Source organism: Homo sapiens, chromosome 19 (genome assembly GCF_000001405.40).
Source record: "Homo sapiens chromosome 19, GRCh38.p14 Primary Assembly".
Classification (NCBI taxonomy): Eukaryota; Metazoa; Chordata; class Mammalia; order Primates; family Hominidae; genus Homo; species Homo sapiens.
Window position 1 is genome coordinate 29,595,948 of NC_000019.10, and position 22,845 is coordinate 29,618,792.

The 22,845-nt window shown below is 48.8% G+C and overlaps 1 protein-coding gene across 2 annotated transcripts, besides 4 other annotated features; it reads left to right on the forward strand.

The window, feature by feature from the left end:
• Positions 12–512: an enhancer, noted in NCBI's record as "OCT4-NANOG-H3K4me1 hESC enhancer chr19:30086866-30087366 (GRCh37/hg19 assembly coordinates)". NCBI's record gives its function as "activates a minimal SCP1, AML or CMV promoter by ChIP-STARR-seq in naive H9 embryonic stem cells {active_cell/tissue: H9 hESC(naive)}" and the evidence as "EXISTENCE:reporter gene assay evidence [ECO:0000049][PMID:30033119]".
• Positions 513–1,013: an enhancer, noted in NCBI's record as "OCT4-NANOG-H3K4me1 hESC enhancer chr19:30087367-30087867 (GRCh37/hg19 assembly coordinates)". NCBI's record gives its function as "activates a minimal SCP1, AML or CMV promoter by ChIP-STARR-seq in naive H9 embryonic stem cells {active_cell/tissue: H9 hESC(naive)}" and the evidence as "EXISTENCE:reporter gene assay evidence [ECO:0000049][PMID:30033119]".
• Positions 9,989–10,478: an enhancer, noted in NCBI's record as "active region_14407". NCBI's record gives its function as "activates an Ori minimal core promoter by ATAC-STARR-seq in GM12878 lymphoblastoid cells {active_cell/tissue: GM12878}" and the evidence as "EXISTENCE:reporter gene assay evidence [ECO:0000049][PMID:35858748]".
• On the forward strand, positions 10,336–21,290 carry POP4 (POP4 ribonuclease P/MRP subunit). Of its 2 annotated transcripts, NM_006627.3 has the most exons (7): positions 10,336–10,378; positions 12,710–12,762; positions 14,462–14,685; positions 15,915–15,992; positions 16,170–16,231; positions 17,924–18,025; positions 19,297–21,290. In NM_006627.3, the coding sequence occupies exons 1-7, from the start codon at positions 10,372–10,374 to the stop codon at positions 19,431–19,433; spliced, it is 663 nt and encodes a 220-aa protein (NP_006618.1). In that variant the 5' UTR covers positions 10,336–10,371; the 3' UTR covers positions 19,434–21,290. The 2 variants fall into 2 exon arrangements, 1 of the variants encoding a protein (NP_006618.1); NR_027368.2 differs by lacking the exon at positions 14,462–14,685.
• Positions 13,947–14,458: an enhancer, noted in NCBI's record as "H3K27ac-H3K4me1 hESC enhancer chr19:30100801-30101312 (GRCh37/hg19 assembly coordinates)". NCBI's record gives its function as "activates a minimal SCP1, AML or CMV promoter by ChIP-STARR-seq in naive H9 embryonic stem cells {active_cell/tissue: H9 hESC(naive)}" and the evidence as "EXISTENCE:reporter gene assay evidence [ECO:0000049][PMID:30033119]".
• Positions 21,291–22,845: the final 1,555 nt, after the last annotated feature.

Below are 22,845 nucleotides of genomic sequence, written 5' to 3' on the forward strand. Positions count from 1 at the left end.
TGTGCCACAGTTTATTGGGATCCTCTGTGGGAGGTGGACCAGGGAATAATAAGGAAAGAAAACAATTTACTTCTCCCCAGTTATATCCAACCGAGGTAAGTCAAGCTCTCTGGGAGTCTGTCCACGGCAGAGGAAATTCTAGCTCCAGGTTTCCAGTGTGAAGGCAAAAGGGTGAAATTGTCCACGTGTTACCAATCTCAAGTCTCCCTGCTTTTTATCTCCTCCCAGGGCTCCTACTGCCCCCACCCCCTGCCCCCAGCGCGACTCCATTAGTCATGCCTCAGCTGCCCAGCAAGAGGCTCACCTTGTCACACTGCAGGGTTTATTTATTACCCACGCTGGGGGTATTTGCATTTCAAAATAAAACCCTGCAGAAAGCAATGGCTCCATCTAAAAGAATGACTCTCCATTGTTTGAATGTCAAGCACTGTGGTTCACTGGAGCAGGGCCTCCCAGCTTGGTACACCGTTGGGGTTGGGGGACCAGCATTTATGATACCCTGGAATGACACTGCTTAGGAAGCCACCTTTTTGGTGCCTTTCAGTTGATTTCAGGCAGTCATTCATGCACTGTTTCTCGAACACTGTCTGTGCATCTGCCCGGCACCCACACTACGGATGCACGATGGTGACAGGCAGCACTGTGACAACAGCATGGCAGAGTTTACCATTCCTGCCGTCCCCTCTGCTTTTGGCCTCTCCTCCACAATTACTTGCTTTTCCTTGATAAGGAGGAGGGAAAATTGCAATCTAGTCTCCTAACCCAGATGTCACCAACAAATATCACCAGATAGTCACTAACCTCAAAAAATGAGGCTTAATTGGTGGCAATTTTGCTAAGTAACTTCAGTTCCTTTTGTCTCAGTTTCTACCTTTATATGGAAAAGGACACTTGTCACATGAAATTCATGAGCTCATGTCTATACCTCACTGCCCAGTGTTGTATTATTTACTCTGCGGTATGAGTGTCTCTTTCCATTGTAATAACAAGGTCACTGGGCAGAAAATCACTTCATAGAGAAAGGGGTAAAGGACACCTCCAAAAGAAAAAAAAAAAAAAAAAGACAGGAGTGGAAATCAATCCCTCACCTTCCTCAAAGCAGCCCTGTCTCGTAACTGCCACAATCTAGCTGTGAATCCTGCCATCTGGAAGCACCCCCACACCCTCCTTCCGCCTCGCTGACACACCATCAATTTCCAAATGTAACCGACAATCCCACCTCTTCCCCAGGGTCTCGTAATTTCTCTCTCCTTTTGCCCTCTATCTTATTTAAACCACTTGACTCTGTCCTGCCTATTCTGGAGGTGTTGATCAAAAACCAGTTACATTGTTTATAGAGAAATGCCCTCAGCTTCTGGATGTCTGCAGTTTCTAGTCACAACGGCTGTGATTCTTTGAAGTGGCCAGTAAACCAGATTTTTGACAGGTGTGGAGGGAAATAATTCCCAGACTGAGGAAAGAAGCTGCAAGCCGTTGTCTCATTCCTTGTGTTAGAATGCCATCAAGTGACAGACCAGAGAACACCGCTGCAAACCTTGAGCACCTTTTATGTCTAATATTCCAAGACCTCCCTGGGAGAGAAAATATGTAAACCAATAAATATAAATGCCAAAATAACCCGTCACGGTCCAAATGGCCAAATTAGTATTAAAGGCAGTTCTTGTCCAGGTGTCAAGAAGCCTTATTTATTTGTTTATTTATTTATTTATTTATTTAGATCAAGTCTCACTCTGTTGCCCAGGCTGGAGTGCAGTGGCACGATCTCAGCTCACTGCAACTTCTGCCCCCCAGGGTCAAGCAATTCTCATGCCTCAGTCTCCCGAGTAGCTGGAATAACAGGCGAGCACTGCCACACCCGGCTAATTTTTGTATTTCTAGTAGAAACAGGGTTTCACCATATTGGCCAGGCTGGTCTCGAACTCCTGACCTCAAGTGATCTGCCCGCCTCGGCCTCCAAAGTGCTGGGATTACAGGCGTGAGCCCCTGCACCCGCTCAGAGTTCCTTACATTCTTGAATAGAATATAAGATGGTAGAAACCTAACAATCTGAGAATTATAACCCAATTTTCAGTATTGCAATGCTGGGTCATGTTTTACCATTTGGTTCCCGATGGGAAGAAGCCAGGGGCAACCCTCAAAGCCACCAGTGCTCCAAAAGGAAAGGCCAACGGGGGCCGCCAGGTGGGTGCTAAAGCTGTATCCTCCATCCAGAGGCTCACGGCTTCTGGGGATCCTCAAGAAGCCTAAAGACCCAAGAGAAACAGGGGAACTTCCTCAAGCTCACAAAGAGAGCAGCTGCACCCCAGCCCCGGCCCCTGCTGCTCTGCAGATAAGTGCCAGGTATGAAATGAGGGCCGGTCCTCGGAATTGTGCATTGACAGGCAGGGTTGAAGCCTCAGGAATGAGGTAATGGTAAATGCCTGCACACACAGATTTAACATTTTTCATTTTTTTTCCCCTCTTAGAGACAAGGCTCACTCTGTCATCCAGGCTAGAGTGCAGTGGCTTAATCATAGCTCAATGCAGCCCCGAACTCCTGGGCTCAAGCGACCCTCCCGTCTCAGCCTTCTGAGTGGCCGGGACCACAGAACTAGTGATAGCATGGAGAAGATGGAAATGACACTGTGTCCAGACCAGAAAGGGGGCATTCTACAAGCTGACAATCTCCATGTCCCAGCACTTCAGACAGCTGAAGCCCCTGAAGCCTCAGACAGCTGAGGGCTCCTGGCAGTGAAGCAGCCTTCAGGCCCCAGAGCACCCAGAGAGCTTCTCCCAGGGTCCCTCTCTCTCTAGCACCAGTGGTACCTGGGCTGCAGGGAGGTTGGTAGGGGTCCCCAGGGATTCCTTCATGTGATAAGCTAGACACGGGGCCCCAAAGAGGCTTCAGGGCTTGAGGAAGATAAATATTTATCAGATCATTACAAAGGAAGAGTGTGGCTGGGCAAGGTGGCTCACGCCTATAATCCCAATACTTTGGGAGGCCCAGGCAGGCAGGTCACTTGAAGTCAAGAGTTTGAGACCAGCCGGGACAACATAGTGAAGCCCTATCTCTACTAAAAGTACAAAAATTAGCAGAGTGTGATGGCGCATGCCTGTAGTCCCAGCTATTCGGGAGGCTGAGGCAGAAGAATCGCTAGATCCCAGGAGGCAGAGGTTGCAGTGAGCTGAGATGGCATCACTGCACTCCAGGCTGGGTGATGGAGCAAGACTGTCTCAAAAAAAAAAAAAAAGCTAAAAACAAAAAACAAAAAACAAAAAAAAAAACATAGGAAGAGGGTATATGGTCTGGGGAAGTATTCTCAGTAGTTACAAAAGTGTTAAGTCGGCCTGGGTGCAGTGGCTGATGCCTGTAATCCCAGCACTTTGGGAGGCCAAGGTGGGAGGATTGCTTGAGGCCAGGAGTTCAAGACCAGCCTGGACAACGTAGTGAGACCCCCAATTTTACAAAAATGTTTTTAATTACCCAGGCGTGATGACATGCACTTATGGTCCCAGCCACTCAGGAGGCTGAGGCGGGAGGATTGCTTGAGCCCAGGAGTTCGAGGCTATTGTAAGCTATGATCAAGCCACTGCACTCTAGCCTAGGAAACAGAGCAAGACCCTGTCTCTAAGGAAAAAAAATTTGTTAAATCGGAACATGCAGGTATTTACCATCACAGGGAACATTGAAAGTATTTTTTAGCTTTGAATTTCCATGCCTCTGCTGAAAATTCCTCATCTGCTCACCTGTTTGACCCATCTTTCCCTCTAAGTTTGTTAATCTATTTATAATAGTATTTTAAAGGCCTCGTCTTCCAGTTCAGCGTCTGGGTCACCTACGCTTCTGCTCTAGTGACTTTCTTTCCATGATTGTGGGTCACAGTGTCCTGTTTCTGTGGGTGTCGTATACACTGTTTTTTATATTTCAAGCTGGATGTTGTATATTAAAGAACAGCAGAGACTGGAGAAGACCAAAGGGTCTTTCCATCTCCCAGAAAAGGCACCCCTTTTCCTTTCAGGAAGCTTTGCTGAGGGGTTGACCTCTGCACAGAATCAGGTTTAAATAGCTTCAGATCCCCTCTGGCTTCAAATCATTTTCGTTTTTTGAGACAGGGTCACACTCTGTTGCCCAGGCTGGAGTGCAGTTGCAATCATAGCTCACTGTAGCCTTGACCTTGACCTCCTGGGCTCAAGCAGTACTCCTACCTCAGCCTCCAGAGCAACTGGGACTACAAGTGTGTGCCACCACGCCTGGCTAATTTTTTATTTTGTTAATTTTTTTGTAGAGATGGAGTCTCACATGTTGCCCAGGCTGGTCTCAAACTCCTGGCCTCAAGTGACCCTCCCACCTCAGCCTCCAGAAGTGCTGGGATTACAAACGTGAGCCACTGCTCCCAGCCTGGCTTCAAATATCTTGAAGGGGAGGTGTGTCCCCTGCCCGCAGCATGGCTTTGGGATTCAGGCACCACAAAGCCAGATCTCTGTGCTTCCCTGCTGTGCCCCAATTCCAGTTTGGGTGATTTTACATCAGGTCCTTTCTCTCTTACTTTCCCATATTTTGACCTAAACAGACTTATACGAATATAAACACATAGCCCCTAGGTCTGGAGTCAATGGCTGCTTTCCCAGAGTTAAGCACAGGTCAAAATAGGTGGCAGGAGGTGCTAGCTACATGCACACACTCCCATGCAGCCTGCAGTGACTTTCTGCAAACCCTTCAAGTGTCTCAGCAAACCTGAGAAATGCAGTGAAGAAGCTCTCTTAGGACACAGAGAGCCCTACGTTTATCCAGACAGACACTCCATTAGCCGAAACTATGCTTTCCTCAGTGCAATCAGCTCACAGAGTAACACCGGGCCAGGGAGCTGGAAGAAATCTATAGTTGCATTTTATACATTTGGGATCAAGCTAGCCTTAAAGAGTGACTTTTGGAGGCTGAAAGACTAGAAAACTTGGATTTCAGAGACTGATATGTGACCAGACACACGAAGTTTTAAGAGTCCCCGCTGTCAGAATTCCAAATGGTTAGTCTTAAACTGACTTAGGGCGCAGCGCTGCCTCTTTACAAAGAGCTGATACGCTGTCTTCCGGCAAGCACCAGTTCTTTGATTCTTGTAGACAAAGTGCCTATCACCCAGCAGGAGAGGGTTTGACCAGCAGAAGTGTCCAGTGTTAGCGCTGGCACCTTACCGCCTATCTCTGTGGCACTATTAGGCCTGAGGAATGATTGAGGGCTGATGTCGCTGTGCCCAGGCTCTCCACCACCACCCTCACCAGCCCTCCTCGTCAATACACAACGTCTGGATCAAGGGCATAGCAGAGCCAGGGGAGCATGTAATCTTGAGCCTCAGGGACTGTTCTGTCCTAGTGAGGACACAGATAATGATGGCTACCATCTCTCAAGCTGTATTACCTGTGCCAGGCCCTGTTTAAACATGCATCATCTTGCTGAGTGCTCCAGGCCACCCTGGGAAGAAGGTGCTGTTAGCAACCCATGTTATAGACAAGGCCTTCCTGTAGAAAAAGCATACAGGCCTCATCCCTCTCAAATGTACCTGATATAGATACCCAAAAAGCAAGAAAAAAACTGTGTATATTTATATACACACACAAATACACACAAACAGATGTGCATACATGTACATATATATACTGACTTCATTGACTTGGTGGATTAAAATTTTCACTGACAATGAAGGCTTCCATGTTCTTATTGCAGGTTTGCTGGTATTCAGGATCATGACCTTTCAGCGGTAAAAAAAAAAAAAAAAAAAACCTACTAGAGGCCAGGTACGGTGGCTCAGGACTGTAATCCCAGCACTTTGGGAGGCCGAGGCGGGTGGATCACTTGAGGTCAGGAGTTCAAGACCAGCCTGGCCAACATAGTGAAACCCTGTCTCTACTAATAGCAAAATTATAGCCGGGCGTGGTGGCAAGCACCTGTAACCCCAGCTACTCAGGAGGCTGAAGCAGAAGAATCCCTTGAACCTGGGAGGCAGAGGCTGCAATGAGCCAAGATCGCACCACTGCACTCCAGCCTCGGCAACAGAGTAAGACTCCATCTCAAAAAAAAAAAAAAAAAAAAAAAAAAAAAAAAAAACTAGAAATAATGTTTTTCTTTAATCCGAAAGTGGAGGAGAGGGGATACACAAAAAAATACTTCTCCACTATATTGTCAGAGGCTATTAGATAAATGGTTTCTGTAAATTTAGTTGTGTTTATTTACAGAAGTCCTAATTTTCGTGGATACCCACTTACTTAATAGTTGAGGCTTAATCTTTTTGAGCTTACATATGAGATTTTTCTTGAATACTCAGAATAGCAGCCTGAATGTCTCAGAGCAACAATCAAAAGGAACCTGTACAAATACAACAAAGTGTGAATTGTAGAATCAAAAAGCATATGGGTGTTCACTGTTTAAATGTTTCCATTATTCTGTATATTTGAAGTTTTTCATAATAAATTGCTGGAGGTCGGAGGGGAGTCACCTGCAATGATTCCATCAAACATTGACTTCTCGTGGAACTTTCACAAAGCCACTACTGGGAAAACACATGTGTATCCATGTTTGAAAGTTTATCATTTATAGCTATAAAAAAGAAAAAAATTAAAGTCTTTTCACCAAATGCAATTTAGAAAAGAGAAACAAAAGGAAAAATCTCCCATAACTTCACTTACCCGGTTATACAAACTTTTAGTATATTCATGTAACTATTGTGTATATATTTGGCTTTATTAGTTTGTAACCTTTTTAAAAATTGTATGTAATTTGTTTAATGGCTGCATGGTAATCCATCATGTTATAGAAATGTGTTAGCAGTGGCAGAGAACCGAGTTACCCCAAGTAACTGGAGACGAATCCGTACGCGTTCGCAGCAACTTCAATCTTTGCCTTGTCAAAAGAAAGAATTTGACTGAGGGGCAAAAAGCAGAAAGAGACCAAGGCAAGTTTCAGAGCAGGAGTGGAAGTTTATTAAAAAGCTTTAGGCCGGGCATGATGGCTCACACCTGTAATCCCAGCACTTTGGGAGGCCGAGGCGGGTGGATCACAAGGTCAGGAATTCGAGACCAGCCTGACCAACATGGTGAAACCCCATCTCTACTAAAAATACAAAAATTAGCTGGGTATGGTGGTGTGTGTCTCTAATCCCAGCTACTTGGGAGGCTGAGGCAGGAGAATCGCTTGAACCTGGGAGGTGGAGGTTGCAGTGAGCCAAGATCGTGCCACTGCACTCCAGCCTAGGAGATAGAGCAAGACTCCGTCTCGGAAAAAAAAAAAAAAAAAAGCAAAGCTTTTGAACAGTAAGGAAAGGAAAGAAAAGGAAAGTATTATACAAGTTGGAAGGACAAGCAGGCAACTTGAGAAACCAAGAGCGCAGCCTGACCCCTTGACTTGGGGTTTTACACGTTGGCCTACTTCCAGGATCTACTTCCAGGATCTTACATTACTTCTCCCCACTCCTGAGATCTTACAGGAAGCTGCTGATCAGTTTCAGGTGTTTTCTATCTGTTAGGCGGCTGCCTGTTCCCTAGCGCCAGCTGTGGCCAATTACTTTAGAGAAACAGTTAACAACCACCTGACCATCACCTGATGGTGGCCCAACACCCCTGGTGTGTGTAGCGGGGAGCCTTCTCCTGCCCTGCTCATACCTGACTACCTACCTACTGTAACAAATGTGCCATACCTAGGAACAGTTTATAAAAACAGATTACTGGGACCCACCTTATAAAAACAGATTATTGAGACCCACTGGATAAAAACGAATCTCCAGGTATGATACCAAGAAATTTGAAATGAAAGCTTACCCTGTGATTGTGATCCTGTATTTGGTCTGTGGATCAAGCAAATTAAGTGTGTGCTAACTAATCAGGTAAATTAATGCATTTAATAATGCATTAATTAGCATACCTAATTACCTAATTAGCACATAGTTAATTTGCTTGATCCACTATGATCAAATATAGCATTGTTTTTAAGTTTTTGCTATTATAAACAAAAATCACAAACATCCTCACAGGTATCTCTCTGCATACAGAAACATTTTCTGAGAATAATCAAGTGGTTTGTTTGCTTTTTATTTTTTTTGTTTGTTTGCTTTTTAAAAAATATTTTAGGCTGGGCGCAGTGGCTCACCCCTGTAATCTCAGCACTTTGGGAGGCCGAGGCGGGTGGATCATGAGATCAGGAGTTCGAGACCAACCTGACCAACATGGTAAAACCCTGTCTCTACTAAAAATACAAAAATTAGCTGGGCGTGGTGGTGTGTGCCTGTAATCTCAGCTACTCAGGAGGCTGAGGCAGGAGAATCACTTCAACCTAGGAGGCAGAGGTTGCAGTGAGCCGAGATCACACCATTGCACTCCAGCCTGGACAACACAGCAAGACTCCGTCTCAAAAAAAAAAATATTTTAATGATGAAGGAACTATGTTGTAATTGCAACTCAAGGACGACCCACCCCACCACCATCAGGGAATTCGAGGGGAGACTGGCAGTTATCCAGGGATCCCAGAAGGAGTCAACTGGGAGTTAAGAGTCCTAACAACCCTAGAAAAAAACTTTCAAAGACACAGGTCTTCTCATTAATCTCCATAATCACAGAGGTCTTGCCTAAAAGGGCCCCCCTTGAGTACACAGCTCTGAAACTGGCTAACATCTTCTGCTGTCTCATTTGATTTTAAAGTTCACATTTGTGAAGGGCTCTATTGTACAACATGGTGACTATAGTTAATAACAGTGAATTTCAGTTAATAACCTGAATTTCACTGAGAGTAGGTCTGAAGTGTTCTCATCACAAAATGAGTGTATTAGCATCGCTCATAGCTCATTTAGCCATTACACAATGTATACACATTTCAAACCATATTGTATACCATAAATACATACAATTCTTATTGGTTAATTTTAAAAATAATAAAAGTTCTCTATCAGTCCCATAAATTACAATTTTCAGGCATCTGCAAAGGCAGCATGTTTTGGTTTAAATGTGGTCTTTCCAAATTTTATACGTATAAAATAAATGCATAAGTGTACTACATATGCAAAAACTAATACATAAATTTTATAAAGTCAATGCACGCGGGGTCACTGGGATGAACCAATTTCAGTGCCTGCAGTCTAATGTTTAAAATCAAAATGGTACAAGGTCACCACCAAAGAAATTGTTTAAGCCAATGTTTCTCAAACTAAAACCTTTGGACATACTCCCAGAATCCCCTGTAAAGAAATGTATACTGTACTCAAAGTTGAGAACCACTGACTTAGCATAAAGGGACCGTATTTCTTTTCTCTCCCACCCAGCACAGGCCCAGTGCTCAGCAGAAATTGGGGCTCCACAGTTCTGCCCAACACTGGGTCACTGCTGAGAAGTCTGCACCAGGCCTTCCTGCACCTTTCCACTGAGCAATGGAGTTTGTTTATTCATTTATTTATTTATATGGAATTTATTTATTTATTTTGGAGACAGGGTCTCACTCTGTCACCCAGGCTGGAGTGCAGTAGCGCAATCCAGGTTCACTGCAGCCCTAAACTCCTTGGGCTCAACTGATCCTCCCACCTCAGATACCCGAGTAGTTGGGACTACAAGCACGCACCACCACGCCTGGATAATTTTTTTTAAATGTTTTGTAGAGATGGGGTCTCCCGATGTTGCCCAGGCTGGTCTCGAACTCCTGGGCTCAAGAGATCCTCCCGCCTGCGCCTCCCACGGTGTGAGCCACCTTTGATCTTATTGCTATGATTTTTTTATTGATAAAAACTAATAAATATTCTGAGTCTCAAGAAAGCTTTCTGAAACTATCAAAGGGACCCAGGCGGCGCATCACTACCTGTGAGGCCGACCCCACTCACAGCACAGACTGCAAGTGAGGCTTACAGATGGGAAGTGCCCTAAGCGAGGTTAAACAGCTAGTTAGCAGCAGACACGGAACTAGAACCTAAGCCTGCTGTCCCAGCTTCGGTGCCCGTGCTCACAGCGGAAGCTGCCTCGGCTCATCCGTAAGGGCGCTGATTAGGGACGACAAAGACCTCACCCCACCGTCCCCGTCCCATTTCCGCCCTCCCAGATCCCCAACCTCCTTCGAGTCCTCTCCAAGTCGCCTCGCCTCGCTCCACTCCAGGCCTTAGCAAGCATTCCACATGCCTTTACCCCAACCCTACTGCCTGTCCCCCAAAAGATGCAGGCGGAAAAGACCCCAGGAAGCGAGCCCACTCCTCCCCACTGCTCAGCAACACCGCCTACGACGTTCTCAGTAGCCGAATCCCTTTCCAGGCGCATGCGCCCCCGAGGTGGGCGAGCGCCGGTGATGTCACGCATAGCGCCATCTCCGAGCTCCGAGAGTCTGCGACAGCAGCTGCCAGTGCGTCATCAGAGAGCGCCGGAAGCGGTCCGAGAATGAAGAGTAAGCGGGGCCGCGAAGTTGGAGAGGGTTGGGGACGTTAAGGGTCGGGGTCTTGGTACTGGTGGGTGAAATGGGTCCGGGCTACCTGTTGCTGCGGAGTCCTAACAGAACCGCTACAGGAATGGGCCCACCCTACCTAAGAAAAACTGAGGGCTGGAGCACGGGTTAGCCTGGCTCGACCTCTGAGCTAGGGAGGGATGTCAGGGCTGGAGGCAGGTTCTCCCGGAGGCTGCTCAGTGGTGTGCGATGCTAGAGGAGGGTTCCAGGCCTTGGCTCAACTTGGCCACTATCTCCCGGGGTGACCGCGGTCAAGATCCTGCTCCTTTCTGCGAGCTGGTTTCACACTCTTAACCTGATGCAAAGCGCCGAGAGCTGCTGGGGAATGATATCACTAACCCAAAGCTTTGGTCCTTAGGGGTAGAAGACATGTGCCAAGGAGGGGCGTGTAGACACCGTTAAGACTGGGCCTTCAATCAGAATTTTTATTTTTCATCTCTGCCACTTTCTACCTATATGATCAAGTAGATTGTCTCGGCATGTCTGAGCTTCAGTTTGCTCATGCACATAAGTGTAATGAGAAAAAATATGTGTACCTTGTAATGAGGTTTCTGGCAAGTAATGGATGTTCAGTAATTGTTAGATGTGTATTGTTGCAGAAAGACTTCCAAGTCTGTTACTAAGCACCTGTAACAGATGAAGCAAAGTTATCAGGCCCCGCAAGTTGCTCTCTACAGTTTATAATCCCCATCTTCCATTTGAGGGAGAACTAGATGCTATATATAAAACTTGCAACCACATTGGTTTGCTTGATCAAACAAACATACCTGGCTGGGTGTGGTGGGACACGCCTGTGGTCCCAGCACTTTGGGAGGCTGAGGCAGGGGGATCACTTGAGGCCAAGAGTTGAAGACCAACTTGGGCAACAACATAGCGAGACCCTGTCTCTACAAAAACTGGAAAAAAAAAAAAAGAATTAGCCAGGTGTGGTGGCACACACCTGTAGTCTCAGCTACTCAGGAGACTGAGGTGGGAGGATCACTTGAAACCAGGAGGTCGAAGTTGCAGTGAGCTATGATTGTGCCACTGCACTCCAGCCAGGGCAACAGAGCAAAACCCAGTATCAAAACAAACAAACAAACAACAAAAAAAAAAAACTTGTAACCACCTTGCATCAAACATTCTCAGGGAAGTACAAGAAAGCTGGAATTAAATTTACAGAGTATAGTGTAAATTACATTTTCTAGCTATTTAGCTCATAAACCAGGCCTTAGTAGTCCCATTCTTATTCCATTCACACCTGTACTCTGTCCCCAGTGCCATGGTTTTCTTCTTTCAAAAAATTAAGAAACAGAAGTGTGGAATTTATTTTAGAGGTTGAAACTTTATTGACCAATGTATATTTTGAGTTTAAAGGAAAAACTTGTATTTTATCAGTTCAGGACACCATCGATTATGTGACACATTATAATTTCATATTAAAATGTGAAGAATCTTTTTAAACATCTTACAGTTAACAAAACCTATTTCTAACCATCTACATCCTAGACAGCTATATCATATAACTTTTAATGAGTTACCTTGTTAGCAAGTGCTCAAGCTTCTAACTTGGGGTATTTTAAACCAATGCAACTCAAAATGTGATTCACTGACCTGCAGTAGTATCTGGGAATATGTTAAACACTCAGGATCTAGGGTAGGAGACCAATAATCTGCATTTTAATAAGATCCCAGAGATTTTTACACACGTTAAATTTTGAGAAGCATTCTTTTTAAACCATGTGCTTGGAACTTCTAGCATAGATGTGGCCAGAGGGTGGGATAAGAGGCATCCAAGAAAGCTTTGCTCTTAATACCAACCTCATCTTCTCCTATCTCTGAATAAGCAGTTGTTCTGCTATAAGTGTAGAAGTGTAGTTATTTTCTTTTCTTTTCTTTTCTTTTTTTTTTTTTTTTTTTTTTGAGACAGAGTCTCACTCTGTCACCCAGGCTGGAGTGCAATGGCACGATCTTGGCGCATTGCAGCCTCTGCCTCCCAGGTTCCAGCGATTCTCCTGCCTCAATCTCCCATGTAGCTGGGAATACAAGTGCAAGCCACCATCCCCGGCTAATTTTTGTATTTTTAGTAGAGACGGGGTTTCACCATGTTGGCCAGGCCGGTCTTGAACTCCTGACCTTGGGTCAGGATCCGCCCGCCTTGGCCTCCCAAAGTGCTAGGACTACAGGTATGAGCCACTGCGCCTAGTGGCGTAGTTATTTTCATAGTTAGAAAAGTCTTGGGTCTTACAGCCATACCCAACAAGAATTGATCATTTCTTTTTTTTAATCCCCCAGGTGTGATCTACCATGCATTGTCTCAGAAAGAGGCGAATGACTCCGATGTCCAGGTCAGTTCTTGGCAGGGAGTCCAGGAGCAACAGAGGTGATGGCAAAGATGGCTCAGTAGCTTCTGAGCCCCCAGCACTGATTGAGATGTCCTTTCCCACATCATACTCCTCATTTTTCTGGCAGACATCTAAGGCTGGATCAAAGTCTGTAGTTCTCATTACCTGTTCCCACGTGCCAGCCTCCTTTTCTGTTGTGCCAAAGTCAAGTTTGGTAAAATGAGGCTTTCCTTAACCTTTTATCATTTCCCACTGTGTTGGGGACACCAGGCTGTGCCCACGTGGTGGGCAGCATCATTCAACCTTGTCACTGTGCCCTCTGCACTTCTGCAGAAGGTGTGCAATCACATATCATAAGTGAAATTTACAGATTATATCTGAATGCCTCGGCCTGCTTTGTCAGTTTTGCAAAAGTTCCTCTTGTGGCTCATAATGAGAGCATTACCTTGAAAGCAAGATTTTGAAAGACCAGTATACCTTTATTTTGCTTCTCCATGAAAGATGAGCCACTCAGGTATTTAAGAGAATCAGATCATTGTCCTATTATAGTCACAATGACGAGAGTGAATTAATTTTTAGTTAGCATCTACAGGTGCAAAGCTGAAGCAGAGTTCCCACCATCATACTGTGAGCTCCCTCGAAGGCTATATGTACCCTATCTTCCCATCCCCATTGCTCTCCCACAGAAGGAAGGCTGCGTTACTATTGACAGATCAGCATCAGTCTGTCAGCCTCAGTCTTAGCATTTAGCACCTGGCTAGTGCAAAAAGAGCTCAGGAAACAGCCCAGCCAGGAGACAGGCCCTCAGGAGAGAGAACTGCCCAGGTCTGTGGCAGGCATGAGGGCAGTGGCATTGCCACCAAATGAGGAATCCGTTATTGGAACTCCAACCTGAGAGGTAGTGAGCTTGGAGGGTTTCTTTGTTTGTTTGTTTGTTTGTTTGTTTGTTTGAGAATTGCACACAATTACGACAGTCATTTTTCCCAGAAGTCCTCTCTAAGAGCCTGTGCTCATTCATGGTAAGTTGACGCCCTGCTCTCAGTGACACCCTTCAGAGAGAGCGAGCCTGGGGCCTGAGATGCTCTCGACGGTACCTTCCTCCAAGTGATGGTCTGCGGGGCGGGAGCGGACCTTTTGGAGAGTGGCCACACCATGCCCACAGAGCTGGAAACCCGGTTAAGGAGTATTGTCCTAAGGGCACAGTGTCAGGGTCCCTGCGCCCTGAGGCTTGGCCGACCCTGGAGCCCTAGTTTTGCTGTTTTCTGTAGTGTTAGGATCACTTCCTCCATAGCTTAGTGCTACTCTGAGCTCACTTTCATCTGGTCATGCCTGGTTGAATATATTTGTTATACATTTCTCAAGCTTTCTCTTCTGCCAAGGATGAGAGAATTCTTCTTCAAGATAGAAAGGTTTTGGTCCTTTCAGAATAACCTCAGAAAAGCAGGGCCAGAGCAGGAAGTGAGCGTTTGACACGCTGTTGTGTGTGACAAACGGTCATGAATTGGTGTGTGAGTGTGACTTACATCTCGGCAGCTGTGGGTAGCAGATGCATGGCGGATGAGCAGGTTGAGAGCCTCAGTAGGTAAAGGGATGGGCCCCATTTGCTCTTGCAGTAGCTGCCGGGAATGGCGGGCGGGATGCCTGGGATCCTGGGCTGCCCAGACCGGAGCAGTGAGCGCCGCACCCCCTTGTCCGCCTGCAGCCTTCAGGAGCACAGCGGGCCGAGGCCTTCGTGAGGGCCTTCCTGAAGCGCAGCACGCCCCGCATGAGCCCGCAGGCCCGCGAGGACCAGCTGCAGCGCAAGGCGGTGGTCCTGGAGTACTTCACCCGCCACAAGCGCAAGGAGAAGAAGAAGAAAGCCAAAGGCCTCTCTGCCAGGCAAAGGAGGGAGCTGCGGCTCTTTGACATTAAACCAGAGCAGCAGAGGTAACCCGAGCTCCCCACGTCTTTCTGCCCGCGGTGCTTACCCTTCTTGGTGTGTGAACTTGGCTGAGTGGCTGGGGAGGCAGCCTGGCTCCACCTAAGCTAAGGGGGCCTCTCTGTCGTCTGCCACAAGAGGGCAGCCTTCCTTTACCAATCTGGGCTGTGTTCAGCGAGGCGGGTGAGACAGGACTCATTGTCTGGCCTCTCTCCTCACCTTCAGGAGTAAGACCCGTGCAAGTACATCTGTTGCCCATGGCAACAGGCTGTTTGTCCTTCGGCTTTGTTAGACAGAAAAGAGGAACTGATATGTTTTTAGTGTGTATTACTTTGTAGCTTTTGATAGAGCCAGACAGTCACCCACTCGGGTTTCATTGCCAAAGCAAGATGTTGCCCACACGTTTCAGAAGTTTCCAAAAGGAATGCATCACTGTCCTGTCCTGTGGGAGGATGTCTTCCTCCAGCCGACCCGCCATCCCTCCTTGGTGACGGGTCTGAGTGTGGGTGTCTTGGGGCTGTCTGTAGGCTTTTGCTTGGAGATCAACGGCCAAATAGCCTCCCACGCTCCAGAAGACGCTTAAAGTATGCCATGCTGTTCCCGGCCCCACTCAGGAGATCAGCTGGGCCTCAGGTGGAGAAGGGGCTGCTGCCTCCCAGGGTTTGCCTCCCGGGTGGAGCCCAGGTTGGGTTTGAGCTTAAGGTCCTCATTTCTCTAACCTAAGGCTTTGTGGTAACGGATTCCCCACAGGATATCAAGACTGGAGATAATGGCCCAGAAGAACGCTGTTGGGGTCCTTGCCCCTGCTCCCCGCTTCTTCTCCCCACCACTTGCTTGCCCACCTTCCAGACCAGCCTGCTGCCTCACATGAGGACCTGCGTGACAACCAGCAACCCCTGCTTTACTGGGGGCTTACTAGGTTCAATTTCACGTAACAGAAAACCTCAAAATAACAGTAGCTTCAACAAGACTCACGTTTATTTCTCTCTCATGAAAAGAAGTCCAGGTGGACACCGCCCTGGGCTGGTGTGGTCCTACCAATGAGGAAACTGAGGTTAGAGAGGTGTAGGTTCTTGGTCTCGGTTATCAGCTCAATTGCTCATCGTCGGATTTGCACATAGTTCCTAATGATCCCAGGTTGCAGTTGTTGGCATCAAGTCAAGCTCTGTGCTATTTGGACATTGTCATCCCAAGCTCATGTTGTCTAACTTTTTCCCTGTTTCTGACTTTGCTGCAGATACAGCCTTTTCCTCCCTCTCCATGAACTCTGGAAACAGTACATCAGGGACCTGTGCAGTGGGCTCAAGCCAGACACGTAAGTTGCATTCCTGAAGCTTTGCTCTTTGGGGTGGATCTCAAGCCTCTGATCATTGTAAATGCGGCTTCAGGAACCAGCGTTGGTATTGCCTGGCTGCAGACGGTTAAAGACCTAGTTGCTTCTTTTGGAACTTTTTATCATGATGTAAACCAAGGGCTTCTGTTTACCCTGCAGGCAGCCACAGATGATTCAGGCCAAGCTCTTAAAGGCAGATCTTCACGGGGCTATTATTTCAGGTAATTTACCTAAGAGCGTGTAGCACATGGCCATCCAGAGGTTCACTCTGTCACTCTGTGGAGACCCAGGGCGTGTGTTCTGTTGGACACACTCTTTACCGTGTGGATTCCCTGAGATGGCCCCCAGTCACCATCATCCCCACGCTAAGGGTGGGAGATGCTTCTCGCTGGCTGTCTTAGCCAGTCCGGCCATTTGCTGGACACACCCTAAGTGGTCTCTGTGTACCTTCTCCACACAGGGACCCCTGTTGGTACCCTAAAGGGCACAGTGGCTGCGAGCACTCACCCACGGCCTGGGATCTTGAACACAGAATCCCTTTCATCCAATGCTGTGGTTTCAAATGTCAGCTACACCTGACAGCCCCCAAGGTGACATCTCCAGCGTAGGCCTGTCCCCTGAACTCCAGGCTCAGGCATCCAGCTGCCCACTTGACATAGCCACCTGGATGTTCAGGGGGCATCTCAGACTTTACATAGCCAAAGCTGCCACCGATTCTCCTCACAGCAACCCCTCCTGGTCTTTTCCATCTCAGTTAATTACTCAGTTATTTACACTGGTTGTTCAGACCAAAAACCTAAACAGTGTCTATGTTTCTTCTTTCCTAATCTCCTCGAATCCTTCGGAACATCCTACTACTTAAATTCAGCCACTGTCATTCCCCAGATTACCTCAGACACAGCTCCTCACCGCACCAGGCAGCCAGAGTGCCGGTTACGTAGAAATCAGAGCACGTTCCTTCCCTGCTTCAAGTCTTCTGGCAGCGTCCCATCGTATGGGAGTAAACCTGCCTCCTTGCTGTGGTCTAAGGCCTCCCCGCTCCCTGGGGCAGCAGGCCTCCCACACTGCCTTCCTCCTGCCCTGCCTCAGGGCTTCGCCTCTGCTCCTTACCTCTACCCGGGAGTTCTCCTGTGTGTGCACAGTCCAGCTTCTCATTGTTCAGCCCTGCTCCAATGCCACTCCCCTCAGGGTCTACCATTGCAAACCATGACCCTCCACACATTGCCCTGTCCCTACTCTTCATAGCACTCGTTGCTGTCAGAAAGTAGAATGGTGTGGTTCACCGTGCATCACCCTGCCTTGCTAGAACCCGGGCTCCGTGAGAGTAGGATCCAGGACCGCCTCTTTCCGTGCTGTGTCCCTGGCATCTCCTGAGGATGGTGCAGGCATTCCACAGCTGCTTGGTGACTCTGTCCGCTACACTGAGGCTCGGGTCAGGACGAGGGAGGGGCTGCTGCTTGTGATGGTGGCTCATCTCGCAGTGCTGGCTGCTGGGCAGCTCTGCAGCCACACTCACGTTCCAGCCAGCATCCTGGGCAGTGCATGGTGGTGTTTGTGCAGATCCTGCAAGGGAGACCTGGCTGCATCAGAGCAGCCAGCCCGTGGGCCCTGATGGTGCTGGGCACATATGTGACCTTTAATTCCAGAATCCTGCCCAAGACCCCTGTGGCCACAGACCCTCCGAAGGACACCTCATAGGAACAGTCCAGAGGCTGCAAAGCCCCAGGGGAAGCCTGGATTCTTGTTGGTTACATCAGGGCCCAGCTGTTGAGCCCCCACCCCCTGGGTGCTCTGTTCTTTCATCTGCTAGCTCAGAGGGTGGGATCAGCACCCCCAACCCCTGAGGCCTGCTTCTCTGTGGTTCCCCCAGCACCACAGAGGCCTGAGCCTGGAACTGTCCTTTTTCTTTGCAGTGACAAAATCCAAATGCCCCTCTTATGTGGGTATTACAGGAATCCTTCTACAGGAAACAAAGCACATTTTCAAAATTATCACCAAAGAAGACCGCCTGAAAGGTATGTAGGTGTTTCTGAGGGCATTGCTTGCGGGCTGTGGCTCCCAGCTACTGCGTTAGCCTTTTCCTCAAGGCTCCAAGAGTTTGATTTGACCCCTCAAGTCAGCGCAGATTGCAGATACTTGCTGAACCTGCATTAAAGCCTGCAGAGACCATCCCCTGCACCCGTGGCTCCCCCAAGAGGTGTGTGTCAGTGCAGCCTGCAACCCCGGCCAGAAATGGCCAAGGGGAAGGAAGACCTGCTCGGCTGTGCCTCAGGGGACCTGGGTCTGTTTAGGCCCCAGGAGAGGGCCTCCACCTGCCCCAAAGGCTGCTGCTCCCAGAGGAATGTAGCCAAACAGGCAGCAGGGTAGAAACAGGAGTGGCGCCTGTCCCTGGAGTTCTGAGCTGTGTCCTTGGCGATAACACTTGGGTTCCATCCGTGGCCAGCATTGCTCTAGCAGATACTTTGGGTCAGCCAGGATTTCTACACCCCGCCTTACCCACAAATCCAGAGATATCAAACCATAGTTAGAAGGTTTTGTTCCTTTAATTTTTCTTTTTTTTTTTTTTGGAGACAGTCTCACTCTTCCACCCAGGCTGGAGTGCAGTGGCACAATCTCGACTCACTGCAGCCTCCACTCCCGGATTCAAGGGATTCTTCTGCCTCAGCCTCCCAAGTAGCTGGGATTACAGGCACGCGCCACCACGCCCGGCTAATTTTTGTATTTTTAGTAGAGGCAGGGTTTCACCATGTTGGACAGGCTGGTCTCAAACTCCTGAACTCAAGTAATTCACCTGCCTCAGCCTCCTAAAGTGCTGGGATTATAGGTGTGAGCCACCGCGCCCAGCCTTCTTCCTTTAATTTTTGAGCTTGGTTTTTCTTGTTGCTTCCCTTATTTTCCTACATATCCTTCTACCTCACATTGTAAACCTCGGAAAGTGGTGTAATAGTTTCTCCACAGAGCATAAGGCCAGGAGCCCATCTGAAAGTTAATGTGGGAAAACCAGTTTCTGGCAGGTGTTCTGGGACTTTCTGGTTCTGGGAATTTGGTGTATAGCCTTTGACCCTGAAGATTAGGTGCCAAGCTACATTTAGCATGTGACTAGATTGACCTGTGGCAGAATAACCACAGGCAACCCTAATGCCCCTCCCCTTGTGGGTTTCCCGTTTCCTATTAGCTTATTTTTTTCATTCAATGTGTTCTGAATAATATTCTACCTAAAAGTAAAATATTAATAAATATTTTTCCTCATCTTTTTTTCTCCTGCCTTTTTTTTTTTTTTTTTCAGTTATCCCCAAGCTAAACTGCGTGTTCACTGTGGAAACCGATGGCTTTATTTCCTACATTTACGGGAGCAAATTCCAGCTTCGGTCAAGTGAACGGTCTGCGAAGAAGTTCAAAGCGAAGGGAACGATTGACCTGTGAATTCTTTGCCGTCTAAGGCAGTTGTTTATGACAGCTGAAAACTGGACACTCCCTAAATGTCCACCTTTCAGTGAAGAGATAGTTAAGCCAATTCCATTTATAGACCACCTCCAGCCAGTGACGCTCCGAGTTGAGGATGTTGAACAACATGGGAAGGTCGCAGCGTACTAAGTGAAGAAGTCAGAGGACAGAGGAATTTCTCTTTCTAGGAGATTTTCATTTTGTGTGACTCCCATGGGGAGGAACAGACTGGCAGGAAGCACACCGGGGTTAACACTGGTTGACTTGAATAGGATTATTCGATTTTTAAAAATACTTTTCCATGTTTTCTGAGTGCTCTATGATAAATCAGTTGCATCTGTGATAATACAGTACATATGTGGACATAAACAGGGATCAAATAAAGGAGGTATTGCTGCAGTCCAGCCAGGTTGAAAGGGAAGGGGGGTCCCCAAAGGTCCATTGGATGGCAGGTGTCTACAGAGGCTCGCCTTTGGGTGGAACTCTGACCCACCTAAGGTTTACTTTGCTATTTCAGGAAGGTTGAAGAGGATTGAAGGGTGAGTTGCTAAGTGACTTAGGGTTTATTCACTTCAGGAATCATAGCTGGGGTGGACCCCAGGAGCAGAGTACTGCATGCAGCTGTGCCCATGCATGGTTGCCCCAGCGTAGTGAGATGGGACCTGCCGCAGCATGCCCACTCCTGAGCTGCCAGGCTGAGCCATGGAGGACTGAAAGGAGGTCGCCCGGCATCACCTCCCGAGGTGAGACCTGCTGCAAAAGCCAAGCCAGCAGCATTGACGCCCTTTGATATCTTCGCCATTTTTGCTGCTGAAAGACTTGGCTTTTCAGTCTGACCCTGGCCCTCTGTGACCATGTGTCTGTAAAGCCAGTGGGTCAGGCCCTTCCATGCAGGGCCAGAGGAAAAGCGGGCCCAGGGCTGCAGTGAGAGCGGGGCAGGGGACCAGCCTACCAGATGGGTTGGAAACATGGCTCAGAAGGACCAACTACCCCTTCCCTTTGAGGAGCAAGTCTCTGCCGATCAGCAAGGCAAGGCCAGGAGCCCTCCTGGCGAAAGGCAGGCCACAAATCTGTTCTCCCCCAGGAGAAGTAGCAGTGCCAGGGCTTTGCGTTTCTGGTAACTTCCACCCAAACCACACCAGAGAGAAACACCGTAGTGGAGAAGGGAAGTGGGAGCGCTGACTGCTGTGTGCCAGGAGAGTAGAAAGGCCCAGGTCTGTGCCACCACCCCTCCCCAAAGCTCAGTGCACCCAGAGTCTCACAGGGACCAACACGGTGCCTCGGTCCTGCTTCCATCCATGCAAGTGTCCTCCGCTCACCAGGGTGTTCTGAGGCAGCTCAAGTGCTCTCCCCCAAGCAGCACGCAGTCACCGCTGCCAGTGATGAACACACGCACGGGCTAGGCACATGGAGCCCAAGCACACTGCCACCTCGGACACGGGCCCCGGCCCAGCGACTGCCTTGTGGTGTGGCCGTCCTCATCTGCCACAGGAAGACAGACTTCGAGGGACCTCTTGCCTAAGGCCTCGCTGACTCAAGGGTAGATTGAGATTTGGACCTAATAGGCTCCAGAACTGTGCTTTGAGCTACAGGGTGGCTGCAGGATGAGACGGATGCAGTTCAAAGTGCAGGATGTGCTGCCTTTATTACCTGCTTTCCCGCTGAGCAAATCCCTGTCTTGAGTGGGAAGTGGCATCTATTCCCCCAGCCATCTGAAAATGCTGTGTTCATAACCAAATAGGTGCTGTAGCTTCCTAGCCATCCCGCTCTTACCCGCCCCTCTGCAATGTAAAAGGCGTCCACTGTTGTGTAAATACACAGTTGCTTTCCAGAAAAGTTGTAGGTACCACTTGCCATGTGAAATCTGTTTTTCATTTAGCTCAGACTCAAGTTTCTGTGTGAGTGGCGGTTTAATTTGTAGATACCTCTCCCTCTCCCCCAAGGAGACATGGTGAGGGTGCTCACCGGCCACTAAGCTGCCGCTGTGCCTGCCTGTTTCTAGGATACACTGTTGCCCTCATGGCCCACCCAGGGGTCATATCTCCCAGGTAGAGGAGGGAAAGGGGAGGGCCCAGCTGGGCGGGACATGGTTCCTGATGAGGAACAGCTGCAGAAAGCATGATCTGAGGCCCAGGGGCCGTGGCAGGGGCCAGGGCTGCCATGTCTCCACAGGCTGCGGCACAGCTTGTCATGGAGGGTAATGTGGTGCTTTTTGGCCCGATCTCTCCCATGTCCACTGTCCAAGGAGCAGGACCCTGGCAGAGCTGAGGCCTTGGCCATGTGGTCCCACGGGAGACAGAGCCACATTCGACTTGTGTAAGCCTCCATGCACCAGAGAAAGTGCCAAAGAGGAGAGAGTGGTTAGCAACTCAGGACAGGACCCAGAGGCTGCAGGACTGGGAGACATCAGCCCAGCGACCCACTGCTCAAAGAGTGGGGCCCAGGGGCCCTTTACATCTTCCCAGTGCCCAGCTGCCACACAGGGTCTGCAGAGGATAGGCCAGAGCCTCGGGGGAAAGGATGAGGTTCTTGGAGGAGAAAGGACAGCGAAAGGACAGCGTGGGCCATGGCTGATGTATCCATCTGCTCTAATCTTCATAACAAAATGCCACACACTGGGGCTGCAGCATTTTCTCACAGCTCTTGAGGCTGGAAGCCAAAGATCAAGGTGCTGGCAGGGCTGGTTTCTGGAGAGGCCTCTCCCTTCTTGTCCTCACATGGCCTTTCCTCCCTGTGTGCAAGGAAAGTGATCCCTCGGGTCTTTTCCTTGTAGAAGGACGCCAGTCCTATTGGATCAGGCCGTGTTCTTATGAACTCGTGAAAGTCTCCAGACAGTCACAGTGGGGGCAAGGGCTTTATCATATGAATTTGGAGACCCAAGTCAGTCCACAGCCACCCCGAAGCTTTCCCAGCCAGGACAGCCTGGTTGTGCCTCCCAGAAAGACTCCAACAGCTACCTGACTCCCAACCTCAGACACTAGCCAGGCCTTCTCTTTCCCCCATATGGGCTGCTTGGACCACTAGCCAGTCCAGCCAGCCCCAATGCTGGCCCCTGAGCTGCCATCACCACTGGATTCTGTGACATGCTCATACAGGAACTTGGGTCCAGGGCTGCTCCCTCCAGTACCCGGGGCCCCTGAGCTGCCCAGTTCCCCTTCACTTTTGCAAACAGCTGAACTCCTCCTCCCGCTGGGGCCAGGCACAGTCTGGATGGGGGAGGAAATGCGTGTGCAGGTGGGCAGGATGGGCAGAGAAGTCTCCCTGGAGCAGGGGCTCCGGCTCTAGGCAGCTGTGGGTGTGAAGAGTGTATTCACACCAAGGCTCAGGGCAGGAGCCCGCAGAAGCATTGTGGAGGACCCAGGAAGGCAGGGGAAGCCTGCGAGGGTCTGCC

What these genes read in the sequence shown, in the direction of transcription:
- POP4 (NM_006627.3), top strand. An exon ending in ATTAAACCAGAGCAGCAGAG is followed by an intron (nt 14,686 to 15,914) that starts GTAACCCGAGCT and finishes ACTTTGCTGCAG; the next exon opens with ATACAGCCTTTTCCTCCCTC. An exon ending in TCACGGGGCTATTATTTCAG is followed by an intron (nt 16,232 to 17,923) that starts GTAATTTACCTA and finishes TTTTCTTTGCAG; the next exon opens with TGACAAAATCCAAATGCCCC.